Genomic DNA, 15472 nt, shown 5'->3' on the forward strand with positions numbered 1-15472 from the left:
GGTTGGCCAGGCTGGTCCTGAACTCCTGACCTCAGGTGATCTGCCCGCCTCAGCTTCCCAAAATGCTGGGATTACAGACGTGAGCCACCGTGCCTGGCCAATAAATGTGTTTTTAAAAAGAAGAATATGTGGCCACACACGGTGGCTCATGCCTGTAATCCCGGCACTTTGGGAGGCTGGGGCGGGTGGATCACCTGAGGTCAGGAGTTTGAGATCAGCCTGACTAACATGAGAAACCCCGTCTCTAATGAAAATACAAAAATTAGCCAGGCATGCTGGCGCACACCTATAATCCCAGCTACTTGGGACGCTAAAGCAGGAGAGTTGCTTGAACCTGGGAGGCGGAGGTTGCAGTGAGCCGAGATCGTGCCACTGTACTCCAGCCTGGGAAACAAGAGCAAAACTCCATCTCAAAAAAAAAAAAAAAGAGGAATACATTTTCAGTGCTAGTCCTGGTCAGGCAAACAGATTCGCTGACCTCTGTGAACTTCAGTGCTTAAGCCTACGTTTTTGTTCACAGGCCCTCATCAAAAAACACGCCCAGCAAATCTCACAAAAGAAATTGACTTTATGGGTCAACTACTGTGAGAATGAACAAAACAGTATATCCATTCTTGTGAACTGTCCTTGCATTCCCATTTACTCTTTTATGCACGTACTAGTTTTAAGAATTGCTCTATCGCCAGCTGCAGTGGCATGCACCTGTAGTCCCACCTACTTGGGAGGCTGAGACAGGAAGATCATTTGAATCCACAAGTTAGAATCTAGCCTGGGCAATCCATTAAGATTCTGACTCTGAAGAAAATAAAAATAATTGCTCTATAATCCTTTCTTTAAATCTTACTACTGAATCTCCAAATTAATAATTTTTCTAGATGAGAGCCAAATTTGTCTCAAAAAAAAAATCAAGAAAACAAACAGCCAGGTGCAGTGGCTCACACCTCTAATCCCAACACTTTGGGAGGCTGAAGGGGGAGGATCACTTGAGTCCAGGAGTTTGAGACCAACCTGGGCAACACTGCAAGACCCCATCTCTACAAAAAACTAAAAAACAGCTGGGTGTGGTGGCATACAGCTGGGTGCGGCGGCATGCGCCTGAAGTCCAGGCTTCTCTGGAGGCTCAGGATTGCTTGAGCCTGAAGGTCGAGGCTCCAATAGACTGTGAAAGCACCACCGAACTCCAGCCTGGGTGACAGATGAAGACCCTGTCTAAACAACAAACAAACAAACAAACAAACCCAGCTGGGCCTGGTGGCTCATGCCTATAATCCTGGCACTTTGGAAAGCTAGGGCAGGTGGATTGCTTGAGCCCAGGAGTTTGAGACCAGCCTGCGAAACAAAGTGAAATCCTGTCTCCACACACATACAAAAAACCAAAATTTAGCTGGGCATGGTGGCGTGTACCACAGTCCCAGCTACTAGGGTGGCCAAGATGAGAGGATCCCTTGATCTTGGGCATTGAGACTGTGGTGAGCCATGATGGTGCCACTGCACTCCAGCCTGAGTGACAGAGTGAGACCCTGTCTCAAAACGAAACAAAATTCAAAATGTTAATACTAATAATTATTTTTGAAAGACTGTATTACAAATTAATTTTATTTTATTTATTCATTTTTTATTTCCCCAAATTTTCAGTAAGCATATGTACTTTGTAATCAAACACACATACACATTATCTTTTTTAACACACATTTTTAAAGTCGAAGCAATGTATTTTCAGCCTTTGGGATGAGGTTAAGAGATTATTCTCCCAAGGAATATACAAAACCCAGGAGGCTGTGCTAACCCCAACCACTTTCGGTATAGCACAGTTCACACAGTACTGAAGTTCTAAGCTTCAGAAAAAAAACACAGAAAAATAAAAATCCTTCACAATCTATATTGCTATGCAGACTATTAGTATTACACAAAAGGTTACAGCTCTCTTACTCTTCAGGTGGCTCTGGTTGACACATCACAAGAGTTTAGTATTTTAAATCAGGTGAGAATAATTTTCTTCTTTTTTTTTCTTTTCTTTTTTTTTTTTTTTTTTTTTGAGACAGAGTCTCACTCTGTTGCCCAGGCTGGAGTGCAGTGGGATGATCTCGACTCACTGCAACTTCCACCTCCCAGGTTCAAGTGATTCTCCTGCCTCAGCCTCCCCAGTAGCTGGGATTACAGAAGTGTGCACTACCACACCTAGCTAATTTTTTTATTTTTAGTACAGAAGGGGTTTCACCATGTTGACCGGGCTAGTCTCAAAACTCCTGACATCAGGTAATCCGCCTGCCTCAGAGCCCCGAAGACCTGGGATTACAGTGTGAGCCACCGCACCCAACCAAGAATAATTTTCTTCTAAATTATTTCTGGTACCATAAACGTTAAATGTAGTTAGCAGGAAAATAATAAGTACCACTAACTGCACAGACACAAAAAGCCTTGTAGAAACTCAAAAATCTTTAACCAGGGCCCTATTCCTAAAGGAAAGTTCTATTTCAGTCCTCCCAGAAGGGAACACAAGCATCATCCTCGGCTCTTGCACTCATTAATTATTAATATTACAAAGTTATTTAATTCAATCAATTTTGGAATTCTGCTTTCTATGGCAAACAAAACCAAACACAAATTCTGCTTGGAAAAGAAAACATGCAGATAAACCTCTAATTAAACATGATAGATTGAACACAGACAATTACCTCTGATCCTTAATGAAACCACACTAAAAGGAATAAGGAAGCCAATTTAGAGAACCCTGGAAAAAGCCAGGTGTGGTGGCTCACGCCTGTAATCCCAGCACTTTGGGAGGCCAGGGCAAGTGGATCACCTGAGGTCAGGAGTTCGAGACCAGCCTGACCAACATGGTGAAACCCAGTCTCCACTAAAAATGCAAAAATTAGCTGGGAGTGGTGGTGCACGCCCTGTAATCCTAGCTACTTGGGAGGCTGAGGCAGGAGAATCGCCTGAACCCGGGAGGCAGACGTTGCAGTGAGCCAAGATCGTGCCACTGTACTCCAGCCTGGGTGACAGAGCCAGACTCCGTCTCAAAAACAAACAAACAAAAAAAGAATACTGAATGCTAGAAAACAATGAATGGGAAGGTGGGCACAGTGGCTCAGGCCTGTAATCCCAGCACTTTGGGAGGCCAAGGCAGGCAGATCACCTGAGGTCAGGACCAGCCTGACCAACATGGTGAAACCCCATCTCTACTAAAAATAAAAAAAAAATAGCCCGGCATGGTGGCATGCACCTGTAATCCCAGCTACTCACGAGGCTGAGACAGGAGAATCGCTTGAACCTGGGAGGCGGAGGTTACAGTGAGCCGAAATTGCCACTGTGTTCCAGCCTGACAAAAGAGTGAGACTCCATCTCAAAAAAAAAAAAAAAAAAAAGAAAGAAAAAGAAAAAAGAAAGCAATGAATGGAATAATGCCTTCAAAATTCCGGAAGGAAATTATTTCCAATCTAGACTTTTATGCCCAATCAAATAAATCAAAAGTGACAGTAAAACACATTTTTGGAAAGGCATGGTCTCATGCACTCTTTTCACAAGAAGATATTAAGGGGTGTGCATTTCCAAAGTAATGGAATAAATAAAAACAACAACAAAGGAAAATAAGTGATTCAGGGAAAACAAAATCTAACCACAATAGGAAAAGACGAAGGTAATTTCCAGGATGACAGTTGGGCAGCCGACTTAACTAAGTCTTACCACAAACACTAAGACTGATTCAAGAATTTAAGGACATTTAAGATAGATGTCTTTATAAAAAGGTTTGCACAAGAACAAAAATGTAATCAAAGTGTATCATCTGTTTCAGCAATGAATAACATAAAAACAAACAGCAGACAACAATTTAACCACAAAACAAAATTAAGAGTCTGAGAAGAGGAAAGGAGAAAGAGAGATACAGACATACATTAGAATTTTTTTTTTTTAATTAAAGCAGCAGTAGGAAAATGGAAGCAAATACCAGAAGAAACAGTTAAAATAATGGAAAGCAGCTGCCTCTGGGGAGAAGGCCTAGGAAATGGGAAAAACACCAGAAAACAGGATGACTATTTTTCATTATAAATGTTGTAGTCCAATTTCACCTTTTCAATTGCTCTGGTTTCCATTTTTAATAAAAAGGTAAAACGAATAAACTCATGCACAATTTCAGTAATCAGTTCATAAGCTACTATGACACAAGTGGTGGGCAGAATAATGGCTCCTCAAAGATGTTTAACTTCTGGAACCTGTGAATATGTTAGGTTACTTGCAAAGGCAGAATTAAGGTTGCAGTTGGCCTTTTCCTGAACTACTCATGTGGGCCCAATGTAATCATAAGGGTCCTTATAAATGGAAGGGAAGAAAGAAGAGTCAGAGATCTGAAGAGGCTATGGTGGCTCTGAAGATGGAGGAAGGGGCATAAACAAAAGCTTGCGGCTGGGCGTGGTGGCTCACGCCTGTAATCCCAGCACTTTGGGAAGCCGAGGCGGGTGGATCATGAGGTCAGGAGTTCAAGACCAGCCTGGCCAACATGGTGAAGCCCTGTCTCTACTAAAAATACACAAATTAGCTGGGCATGGTGCACGTGCCTGTATTCCCAGCTATTCGGGGGGCTGAGGCTGGAGAACTGCTTGAACCGGGACTGGGAGGCAGAGGTTGCAGTGACTCAAGATCGCACCACTGCACTCCAGCCTGGGCTACAGAGCGAGACTCCGTCTCAAAAAAAAAAAAAAAAAAAAGCTTTCAGGTGCTCTCCAGAAGAAACAAAGCCCTGCTGACACCTTGATTTTACCCCAACAGGACCTATCTCTAACCTACAGAACGGTAACAGTGTGTGTGTGGTTTTTGTTTGCTTTGCTTGTGGTCATATTTATTACTACAATTTTTTACACCTTCTTTAACAATAGTTGTGATCCTGGTGGTCTTTGGCAAGAGGGCACTCAGAAAAGCACGATTTAACTTTTGGTATTATGAGTGAATGAGAAATTATTATCATAAAAACTGTGACTATATGAATATGAAAAGTAAAATATACATGAAGAAAAAAATGCCTCAACTTTTGTGAATACTGACTCACAATGTCAAATAATCAGCAAAATTATAAGGCTAATTATAAAGTTTATCTGATCCATGACTGTCAATGAGATATTTTAATATTTCTTCTCAGTAAATTTAAAAAAACAGTATTTGTTAGTAGATAAATTGTTAGAAATTGTTTATTAACTGCTTTCGAAGAAACATGTCCAGCAACTTTGAGGAAAAAATGTGCACATTATTTTTAATCACATACAATCAAACATAATTGGTAATGTACCGAAGATTACATTCAGCCGTGAGTAACAGGAAACACCCACAATATTCCTGATATGAGGAAAGTGCTTATTCTCACATCAAAGTACTGGGTGAAACCAGTCACTGCACAATGCGGCAGAGGAACAAATTCCCATGTAGCTGTTTTTTTTTTTTTTTTTTTTAGACGGAGTCTTGCTTTTGTCGCTTGAACCGGGACGGGTTCAAGTGGTCCCAGTTGATGCTGGAGTGCAGTGGTGTGATCTCAGCTCACTGCAAGCTCCACCTCCCAGGTTTACGCCATTCTCCTGCCTCAGCCTCCCAAGTAGCTGGGACTACAGGTGGCCACCACCACTCTTGGCTTTTTTTTTTTTTTTAAGTAGAGACGGGTTTCACCGCATTAGCCAGGATGGTCTCCATCTCCTGAACTCGTAGATCCGCCTGCCTCAGCCTCCCAGAGTGCTGGGATTACAGGTATGAGCCACCGTGCCCAGCCCCACGTAGCTGTTTTTGACAGTACCATTGTAGCTGTCATCTTGAATCAGGAACAGTCAATACCAGTATGAACAGAGGAGTTTACTATACAAATCAGATCTTCTATCAATTTAATCCATAGACTAGGGGAGTCAGATCATCAGAGGATATTCCCAACCATGAGAGTCTGAACAGGTTGTCCGGTACACGTTAGGGCTTGCAGGAAAATCTTAAGTGCAGACGGATTTTTAGTATGAGTTGTTTTGAGCCACTATTTTTTTTTTTTTTTAGACAGGGTCTTGCTCTGTAGCCCAGGCTGGAGTGCAGTGGCACGATCTCACTCACTGCAACCTCTGCCTCCCAGGTTCATGTGATTCTCCCACCTCAGCCTCCTGAGTAGCTGGGGCTACAGGTACAAGCCACCAAGCCTGGCTAATTTTTGTGGGGTTTTTTTTGCAGAGATGGAGTTTTCCCATATTGCGCAGGCTGGTCTGGAACTCCTGAGCTCAGTGATCCACCTGCCTCAACCTCCCAAAGTGCTGGGATTACAGACGTGAGCCACTACACCCAGCCCAAGCCAATAAATTTGTGGTAATTTGTTACAAGAGCAATAGGAAACTAACATGATATACAAAACACATTTTTCAGGCAATTAAAAACAGATAATGGGATGTACATTATGTTCTTACTAAACTCACAAGTATTTAACTTTACAGTTCAAATAGGACAGCATAATTTGATACCAAGTCCAAAGCTCTGAAAGATTACAATTAAGTCCCTCCCACCTGAAATTAAGTATACAAAAGACTATTAGGGGCTGGGCGCAGTGGCTCACACCTGTAATCCCAGCACTTTGGGAGGCCAAGGTGGGCGGATCATCAGGTCAGGAGTTCGAGACCATCCTGGCTAACATGGTAAAACCCCGTCTCTACTAAAAGTACAAAAAAAAAAATTAGCCGGGCATGGTGGCGGGCGCCTGTAGTCCCAGCTACTCGGGAGGCTGAGGCAGGAGAATGGCGTGAACCCGGGAGGCGGAGCTTGCAGTGAGCCGAGATTGCGCCACTGCACTCCATCCTGGGCGACAGAGCAAGACTCCGTCTCAAAAAAAAAAAAAAAAAAAGACTATTAGGCTCACACCTCAATTGCTATTTTATAGGAGAAATCATATTTTTTCTCTTCTCTCTGGAGGCAAAGGAAAGTACCAAATTATTTCAATGTCCCTTCTAGCCTTCATTTAATGAAAGAAGGCCATAAAATCTACGGCGTGGAAAGGATGTTAAAGATAGGTGATTGAATTGCAAACTAAATCTCAAATCCTCTCTACAATATCCACCCAGCAATTGCTAACCTATGCTTGAATACTTCCTGGTGATAAGAACTCACTGTCCCAAAGCAGTCTAATCCATCTTTGAATAGCTGTGATTCTTAGCTCTTTATTCTGAGGTGGTATCTCTCAACTCCATCCACAGGGTTTATTTCCTGTCCTCAGCATTAACTAAAACACATCTAACTAATTAGACCTCAAGAAAGTCACAAAATATGTATTGTGTTTGCCCTGAGTTCTCTATTCTCTTGGCTACACATTCCCAGCTTAGTCAATCATACTTCAAATTTAAATTTAATTCCCAGCTCTGCTATTAAGTATATAACATGGACAAGTTATTTAATCTTTTGAAATCTGTTTTGTTATCAATAAAATAAATACTGCTCCTTAGGGTTCATATGAGTGTTAGAAATGTGTCCCAAAATCTTTGTATAGTGCCTGCACAGAGCAGACACTGACTAAACAGCAGCCATTATGATAATAATGGCAGGGACTTGAATTCCCACTAGGTACAAGTTGCTCTCTTCTGAATGAGCTCCATTTTGTTTTTAACCCTAAAGGATGATGCCTCAAACAAGCAGTATCCACGGCTTGTTTGAGGTGTACTCCTTGGTGCAGAGGAGAGCAGGACTATCTCTCTCTTTCCCTCATCCTAGTTACCATATTTCCACCAAAGCAGCCTAAGATCAAATCTGTTTTATTTCATGGCCATATCACACTGTTGCCTCACAGAGAATACACTTTGATTAAAATCCATCTTTTAGAAATATTAAAACTGGGCCAGGCGTGGTGGTTCACGCCTGTAATCCCAGTACTTTGAGAGGCCGGGTGGGCAGATCACCTGATGTTGGGAGTTTGGGACCAGCCTGACCCAACATGGAGAAACCCCATCTCTACTAAAAATACAAAAATTAGCCGGGTGTGGTGGTGCACACCTGTAATCCCAGCTACTTGGGAGGCTGAGGCAGGAGAATCGCTTGAACCCAGAAGGCAGAGGTTGCAGTGAGCTGAGATCGCACCACTGCACTCTAGCCTGGGCACCAAGAGTGAAACTCCGTCTCCAAAAAAAACCAAATATTAAAACTGAAAAACCAACTAGGTGCAGCAGCTCACGCCTGTAATCCCAGCACTTTGGGAGGCCGAGGTGGATGGATCACAAGGTCAGGAGTTCAAGACCAGCCTAGCCAACATAGTGAAACCCTGTCTCTACTAAAAATACAAAGATTAGCTGGGTGGGGTGGCACGTGCCTGTAGTCCCAGCTACTCGGGAGGCTGAGGCAAGAGAATAGTCTGAACCTAGGAGGCGGAGGTTGCAGTAAGCCAAGACTGGGCCATTCCACTCCAGCCTGGGCAACAGAGCAAGACTCTGTCTCCCAAAAAAAAAAAAAAAAAAGGATAATACAATGCAGTATTCCTAAATCAATGAGTAGGAAACACTCTGGGAATTGCCTAGCATATACTAACTGCTTAGTAAAAGTTTTAAGACTTCCCCTCCATTAACTCAAAACATCCATAATCAATTCTCAGAAGTACCTCCTTTTCAACAACATAAGCAGCCACAAAAATACCAATAGCCAGGCATTCTGCTAAGAGTTTATATATATAATTTCTTATAATTCCTAAAACAACCCTTTGAGTACAGGAAAGCACAAAAAGTTAACAAAATTAAGTGGCAGAGCAAGGAAAACACACCCTAAAGAGTGTTGACTCCAGAGCTTACCTTTCTAAATACTGATTCACAGTAGCTCTTGTATTAGTTAACTGATAAAACATCTGCTCCTGGGCATTGGCTACACTGTCCACTTTCTGAAAACTCATCAAGCTACACACTTAGTATTTGTGTACTTTAGTGCACTGCATGTGTGATAAAGGGAAGCCTCGGGAAAATGTTAAAATCACTTACATTAAAAACATATACACACTGGGCACAGTGGCTCACGCCTGTAATTCTAGCACTTTGGGAGGCCAAGGCAGGTGGATTACCTGAGGTCAGGAGCTCGAGACCAGCCTGACTAACATGGTGAAACCCTGTCTGTACTAAAAATACAAAAATTAGCTGGGCGTAGTGGCATGTGCCTGTAATCCCAGCTACTCGGGAGGCTGAGGCAGGAGAATTGCTTGAACCCAGGAGGCAGAGGCTGCAGTGAGCTGAGATCGCGCCATTGCACTCCAGCCTCGGTGACAGAATGAGACTCCATCTCAAAAAAAAAAAAAAAAACAATGACAACAACAACACATACACATTCCTGAATCCAGTCAAAGGAAAGTTTTGGTTCAGCTCAAATTTAACATGAACTTGGTGGCTATAATTGTTTTTCTGTCTTACATCTGTCTCTCTTAGGTCTATATATCCTCCTACAGTATTACATACTTATGTCTAAAGGTAAAGATAATAAAAGGGAAAAAGAACTCTAATAGATGTTCCATAGTAACAAACTTGAAATTATCTGAGGATAGACCACTGAAGTCCAGGAGGCACACTAATTATATATGTTTCCAATGAATAAATTACAGCTGTACAGTATTTTAAAACATTAAGGAAGCCATTTATAAATGCTCTTGTAGTTGCCTATGTTTAAAGAAGACAAGAGGAAATGGAACCATTTCAGTTGTCCATTTGTTTGCTATCATTAATATAATTCTCTCCCAACATATAATACTCTACTATCAGTAACACAATTGGGTATAATCAATAGCAATGCTAGTAGAACTATTCCATAAAGAAAATGAGTCCAAGACTTACCTTCCAAATAACTGAGGGGCCTGAGGCAGGATCCTTAACTCAGAAATGGGATTAATACCCTTACAGAAGGCCTCTTGGAGGATTAAACAAAATAATGTACATACAGTTTTTGGCATAGTACCTGAGATTTAGTAAACATCTACTCAATAACTATTGACAATTATTACTCTGAAATCTTAAATTAATGTAAACAATCTACCAGCTTAATGTAATACAGTAATAAAGTATTAGAGAAGGAAAAGTCCACCCCAAAGAACTCTAAAAACCAAAATACAATTCCCCAGGTCAACTCCATCCAAGAAGTATAAAGGTCATAATAAAATGAACCCACTGGATTCCTGTGGGTCCTTAACCCATGGAGATAAGAAAACCTAGCTTAACATTGTTAAAATAGAACTGGGCAACTCTGGCCGGGCGTGGTAGCTCATGCCTGTAATCCCAGCACTTTGAGAGGCCAAGGCGGGTGAATCGCTTGAGCTCAGGAGCTAAAGACCAGCTGGGCAACAAAGCAAGACCTCTGTCTCTACAAAAAATACAAAAATTAGCCGGGCATGGTGGCTCGTGCCTGTGGTCCCAGTCACACAGGAGGATGAGGTGGGAGGATGGCTTGAGCCTGGGAGGCATAGGGGGCAGTGAGCCAAGATCGCACTACTGCCCTCTAGCCTGCATAACAAAACCAGACTGTCTAAAAAAAAAAAAAGAATTGAGCAACTTTGCTCCTCCCTTTAAAAACCTCCAGTGGTTCCTCATCTTCTAATTTACTGACAAAAAGGCCGAACTATTAATACTTACATGGCCAGGCGCGGTGGTTCACGCCTGTAATCCCAGCGCTTTGGAAGGCCGAGGCGGGGAGATCATTTGGGGTCAGTCCAAGACCAGACTGGCCAACATGGTGAAACCCCATCTCTATTAATAATACAAAAATTAGCTGGGTGTGGTGGCACAAGCCTGTAAGCTCAGCTACTCACGAGGCTGAGGCAGGAGAATCACATGAACCCAGGAGGCAGAGGTTGCAGGGAGTGGAGATCATGCCACTGCATTCCAGCCTGGGTGACATAGCAAGACTCCGTCTCAGAAAAAAAAAATGACAATGGCATGCAAGTCCTTCCAAGAATTGAACTCAGTTACCTTCCCAGCTCTCTCCATCAAACTGCTTTCTATTTTCCATTTTGCAAACAGACATGCTTTGACTTCTCATGGCTTTCATGGCTCTTGGCCTTCCCCCCTCTGGAATGGCATCTGCTCCCTCAGTCCTCCACACTGTACTGCAGTTGTCACTGGGTCCTTAACTCCTCTTTTGGACTCTAAGCAAAAGATAACGTACTATTCATTTATAGTTGTAACCTAATATAAAACTATCCATACTGAAAAGTCAATAATGTCTGAAATTTAGATGGTAAAATGCTAACTTACATTTACCCACATCTTCATCTATTTTACTTTTACTGTCATAAAAAATTAAGAATAGTTGACGTAATTGATTCAGTCACTGGCCTATTACCACCCTGACAAGGATGGAATAAGAAATAGGGCTTGTCATTTCCAACCCAAGCTATTTGCAATGGAAAAATATATCCATGCTTTCAAGATTCGTATTTATTCCACAGTGGAAGAGAAAATGTAATGTTCTTTCCTTTATTTATTTATTTTTTTGAGATGGAGTCTTGCTCTGTTGCCCAGGCTGGAGGGCAGGGACGAAATCTTGGCTCACTGCAAGCTCCGCCTTGAGGGTTCAAGTGATTCTCCTGCCTCAGCCTCCCAAGTAGCTGGGACTATAGGCGCCTGCCACCACGCCCAGCTAATTTTTTTATTTTTTTATTTTTAGTACAGATGAGGTTTCACCGTGTTAGCCAGGGTGGTCTCGATCTCCTGACCTTGTGATCCACCCGCCTCGGCCTCCCAAAGTGCTGGGATTACAGGCAAAAGCTACCACACCCGGCCGAAAATGTAATGTTATTTCTAATTCTCGTGAGATACTGGTATAAAACCATAGAATAGCGATTAAAAGTCCCAGCAAGACTGACAAAACACCATGTGTTCCACCAGAAAAATCCACACATTAAAACAAAGGTGCCGGGCACGGTGGCTCACGCCTATAATCCCAACACTTTGGGAGGCCAAGGTGGGCAGATCACCTGAGGTCGGCAGTTCGAGACCAGCATGGAGAAACCCCGTCTCTACTAGAAATACAAAAGTACCTGGGCGTGGTGGCACATGCCTGTAATCTCAGCTACTCGGGAGGCAGAGGCAGGAGAATCACTTGAACCCTCGAGGCAGAGGTTGCAGTGAGCTGAGATCGCGCCATTGCACTCTAGCCTGAGCAACAAGAATCAAACTCTGCCTAAAAAAAAAAAAAAAAAAAAAAACCAGGCTGGGCACAGTGGCTCACACCTGTAATCCCAGCACTTTGGGAGGCTGACGCAGGAGGATCACGAGGTCAGGAAATCGAGACCATCCTGGCTAACACGGTGAAACCTCGTCTCTACGAAAAATACAAAAAATTAGCCGGGCGTGGTGGTGGGCACCTGTAGTCCCAGCTACTCGGGAGGCTGAGGCAGGAGAATGGAGTGAATCCGGGAGGTGGAGCTTGCAGTGAGCCCCGAGATGGCACCACTGCACTCCAGCCTGGGCGACAGAGTGAGACTCTATCTCAAAAACAAAAAACAAAACAAAGGCAGCATTACTTGGCTCACTCCACATTCCATAATTCTTCTGACTGCTTTTACATCCTTCCCTTTTGTCAGTTAGTGTCTCATATACTAACAGTCTCCAATGACACATGCAGAAAGGTAGCTTTTAATTGCTACACAGCTATTTCTCCTTTTTAGTACCTGGATATTGCTTTGAGAACTTCATTTAGGAAGTGAGTGAACCACACCTATCAGTGTAGCTTTATTCTCTAAGGTGACTAACACCTAGGCCCCAAGTTATAAGTTTCCCCAGGATTCCTACCACTCAAGACACATGTTAAAATAATCTGTTAGGTTAAGACCACTGAATCTTAAATCTGAGACATCATATTTTATAGAATCCAGCTCCCTTTATACATATGAAACTGATTCTGGAAAAGTTAATTGTCTAGTTTACAAGGTAACTAGAATCCAGAGCTTCCTGACTCTCCAAACAATGTTAAGTATACTACACGTTACAGTGTTTTAATCTTTTTCTTTGTTTTGAGACAGAATTTCACTTTGTCGCCCAGGATGGAGTGCAGTGGCATGATCTCGGCTCACTGCAACCTCTGCCTCCCATATTGAAGCGATTCTTTTTTTTTTTTTAGACGGAGTTTTGCTCGTCGCCCAGGCTGGAGTACAATGGTGCCATCTTGGCTCACTGCAACCTCCGCCTCCCGGGTTCAAGTGATTCTCCTGCCTCAGCCTCCCTCAGTCCTGCAACAGAGCAGGACTCCAGCTCAAAAAAAAAAAAAAAAAGGAATTAGTTCATTTCTACTCTTACTCTCTGCTACAATATACTTTACTGAAAAATAAGTTCCAAGAATAAAAATTTAAGATGGAATGTAGCTATATGAATTGTACAGAAACCACCTGATTTTTATCAAGTGGTAATATATCATCACTACAGCAAACTCTAAATTCAAGCCGGTGATCTAAAAGTCAAATGATCCAAAACCCATTAGCCATTACCAATTCCCCAAGCTAGTTAGTACACAGAGGGCTCAACTCATTGTGCAATGACCACGAATATGTCATTGAATGTGAAATGATCAAATGTTCTGGAAAATTTATAAAACTTTCACTAGTTTGCACAATTAAAGTTATTTTGAGAGAAAACAACTTCCGTGTGTATCATTACATTGAACTACTCAACTTTGGCTAGTAAAATATGTACTCCAAAAGGTACTCCCTCTGGGGAAAGTGTCATAAATATGCTGCTCTGGAATGTACGTGGAACCTAGCAACCACTTTTAAAGTTGCATTTGCTGATGTCCCTCCCTGTCCATTCGCCCTACAAGACTAAGTATCTTTAAGAATCAAACTAACGGGCTTTCATCAGTTTTTCCCACTGACAAAAATCATGTGATTGGTCTCTCCACCATTCGACTAAGTGAATCACCCAATTAAAAAAAAAAAAAACCGCACACTACAATCTTGCTCTAAGACAAGAGACATTTAACAATTAATTATGCGAAAAGCACAGAAGGTACTGTTAGGCCTTACTCTGAGAATTCACTCTTGCACATTGCTTACAATGTAAAATTTTAACCACCTAGAAGTTACTAGAACATAGTGGACATCTCTCCTCAAGAGTTTGACAAGCCGGAGAGGATGATGAGCTTAACACTTTACTTCCTCCTCTCTGCCACATCAATCTGCCGGGGGATCAAGTCCTGTTCCAGTTTATGGTTCCCAAGAATGGCTGGAAAAGCTATGTATGGAACCTCTTGACAGATTTCTTCCACTAAGGGTAAAAATCGGCGGGTTCTGATGTGACAAGCCATGGGAAATAGGAAAAGAAAAGCGTCAGTTAAAAAAATAATAATAATAAAAGGCAATCCCAGAATGGGATCCTTTGGAAGAAAGTGGGCTCATTCTTCCACCAGGGCTCCTGGAAATCCCAGAAGCTAAATCAGGTAAAATGTCCCGGTAACCTCTGGGAGGCGGGACATGACTGCTAAACCAAGGTTGCAGGCCCGTCAGGGGTGTGACCTAGTGGCCAAGCGGGTAGTGACAAACTTCGGGTACCCCCAAGGAGGGAACCCCGCTTGAGTCACCACAGCCCAGTATGAGTGGGTGAGGGCAAGTCTGGTCCAGTCACCCTGGGGACCACAGCCCACGCCGGGCTCCCGGGGCCGGGCAGAAGCGGCGGGGGTGGGGCTGGCCCGGCTCACCTTTGAAGAAGCGCAGTGCCAGGCCGTACAACTCCTCCAGGCCGAAACCCCAGCGCTGCTCCAGCCGCCGCGCCTCCTCCGCCGCGCCCCCAGCCGCCGCCTCCCCGGGCTCGGGCTGCTCCCCTGAGGCGCCCGGGCCGCGACCGGATCCAGGTGGCGAGGGCGGTGGCAGCGGTGGCGGCAGCAGCGGGGCGCCCTCCGCCCCAGGCCGCTCCTCCGGGTCCGGGCTGAGCGTGAGGCCGTCGACGGACACCTCGAGTCGCTCTGCGTTCAGCACCGCCGCCATCTCCGGCTGCTGCACCTCCTCAGCGGGGACAGACGGCAGCCACGTATCGACTTCCTGCTGACCTCTGACCTCCGCTTACCGACACCGGAACTTCCGCTGCTGAGGAGGCTGGAGGGCTCCGGGAGAGGGGCTGAGGCCTGGCGCCCCACCCCCTCCGGAATCGTCAGTTGCCCTGGCTCAGCGACCACCCTTCAGGCTCCCCAACTCCCGTTGGTCCCGAACTCCCCTCCCCCGCACCCCATCCTTTCGGATCCCAGTTGCTCCAGGTGGGCGGGTGCTACCACCCCCACCGCTCGGTTCGGTGCTGCGGCTGTCAGTGCCCAGCAGGGGCGGGGTCAGTGGAGCCCCGCGCGGGGGTCGGAGTAGGGAGGATTGACGAGGTCGGCCAGCACCCAACCCTCCAGGTCAGAGGCCCTTCACATTTGCAGGGGCCTGCGTGGTTGGCAGAGCTCTTTTGCCCACCACCATCTCGTTTGGCCTTCACAGCAACTCTAAGGAAATGCAGGGCAAATTCCCAATTTTTTTAAAAGGGGAAACTGA

The 15472-nt window shown here is 44.1% G+C and overlaps 1 protein-coding gene across 1 annotated transcript in view, besides 4 other annotated features; it reads right to left on the minus strand.

The window, feature by feature from the left end:
- The window catches only part of ACBD3 (acyl-CoA binding domain containing 3), a 42063-nt gene extending 27065 nt beyond the window's left edge, over positions 1 to 14998 (minus strand). The window contains exon 1 of the mRNA NM_022735.4: positions 14647 to 14998. Within this exon, the coding sequence (NP_073572.2) occupies positions 14647 to 14932 (286 nt within the window). The 5' untranslated portion in view covers positions 14933 to 14998. The remainder of the gene's footprint in view (positions 1 to 14646) is intronic.
- Positions 10182 to 10682: an enhancer, noted in NCBI's record as "H3K4me1 hESC enhancer chr1:226369626-226370126 (GRCh37/hg19 assembly coordinates)". NCBI's record gives its function as "activates a minimal SCP1, AML or CMV promoter by ChIP-STARR-seq in naive H9 embryonic stem cells {active_cell/tissue: H9 hESC(naive)}" and the evidence as "EXISTENCE:reporter gene assay evidence [ECO:0000049][PMID:30033119]".
- Positions 10683 to 11183: an enhancer, noted in NCBI's record as "H3K4me1 hESC enhancer chr1:226370127-226370627 (GRCh37/hg19 assembly coordinates)". NCBI's record gives its function as "activates a minimal SCP1, AML or CMV promoter by ChIP-STARR-seq in naive H9 embryonic stem cells {active_cell/tissue: H9 hESC(naive)}" and the evidence as "EXISTENCE:reporter gene assay evidence [ECO:0000049][PMID:30033119]".
- Positions 14489 to 14968: a silencer, noted in NCBI's record as "silent region_1880". NCBI's record gives its function as "represses an Ori minimal core promoter by ATAC-STARR-seq in GM12878 lymphoblastoid cells {active_cell/tissue: GM12878}" and the evidence as "EXISTENCE:reporter gene assay evidence [ECO:0000049][PMID:35858748]".
- Positions 14605 to 14899: a silencer, noted in NCBI's record as "tiled region #9906; K562 Repressive non-DNase unmatched - State 1:Tss". NCBI's record gives its function as "represses a minimal TATA promoter and a strong SV40 promoter by Sharpr-MPRA in K562 cells {active_cell/tissue: K562}" and the evidence as "EXISTENCE:reporter gene assay evidence [ECO:0000049][PMID:27701403]".

This window comes from Homo sapiens, chromosome 1 (assembly GCF_000001405.40).
Source record: "Homo sapiens chromosome 1, GRCh38.p14 Primary Assembly".
Classification (NCBI taxonomy): Eukaryota; Metazoa; Chordata; class Mammalia; order Primates; family Hominidae; genus Homo; species Homo sapiens.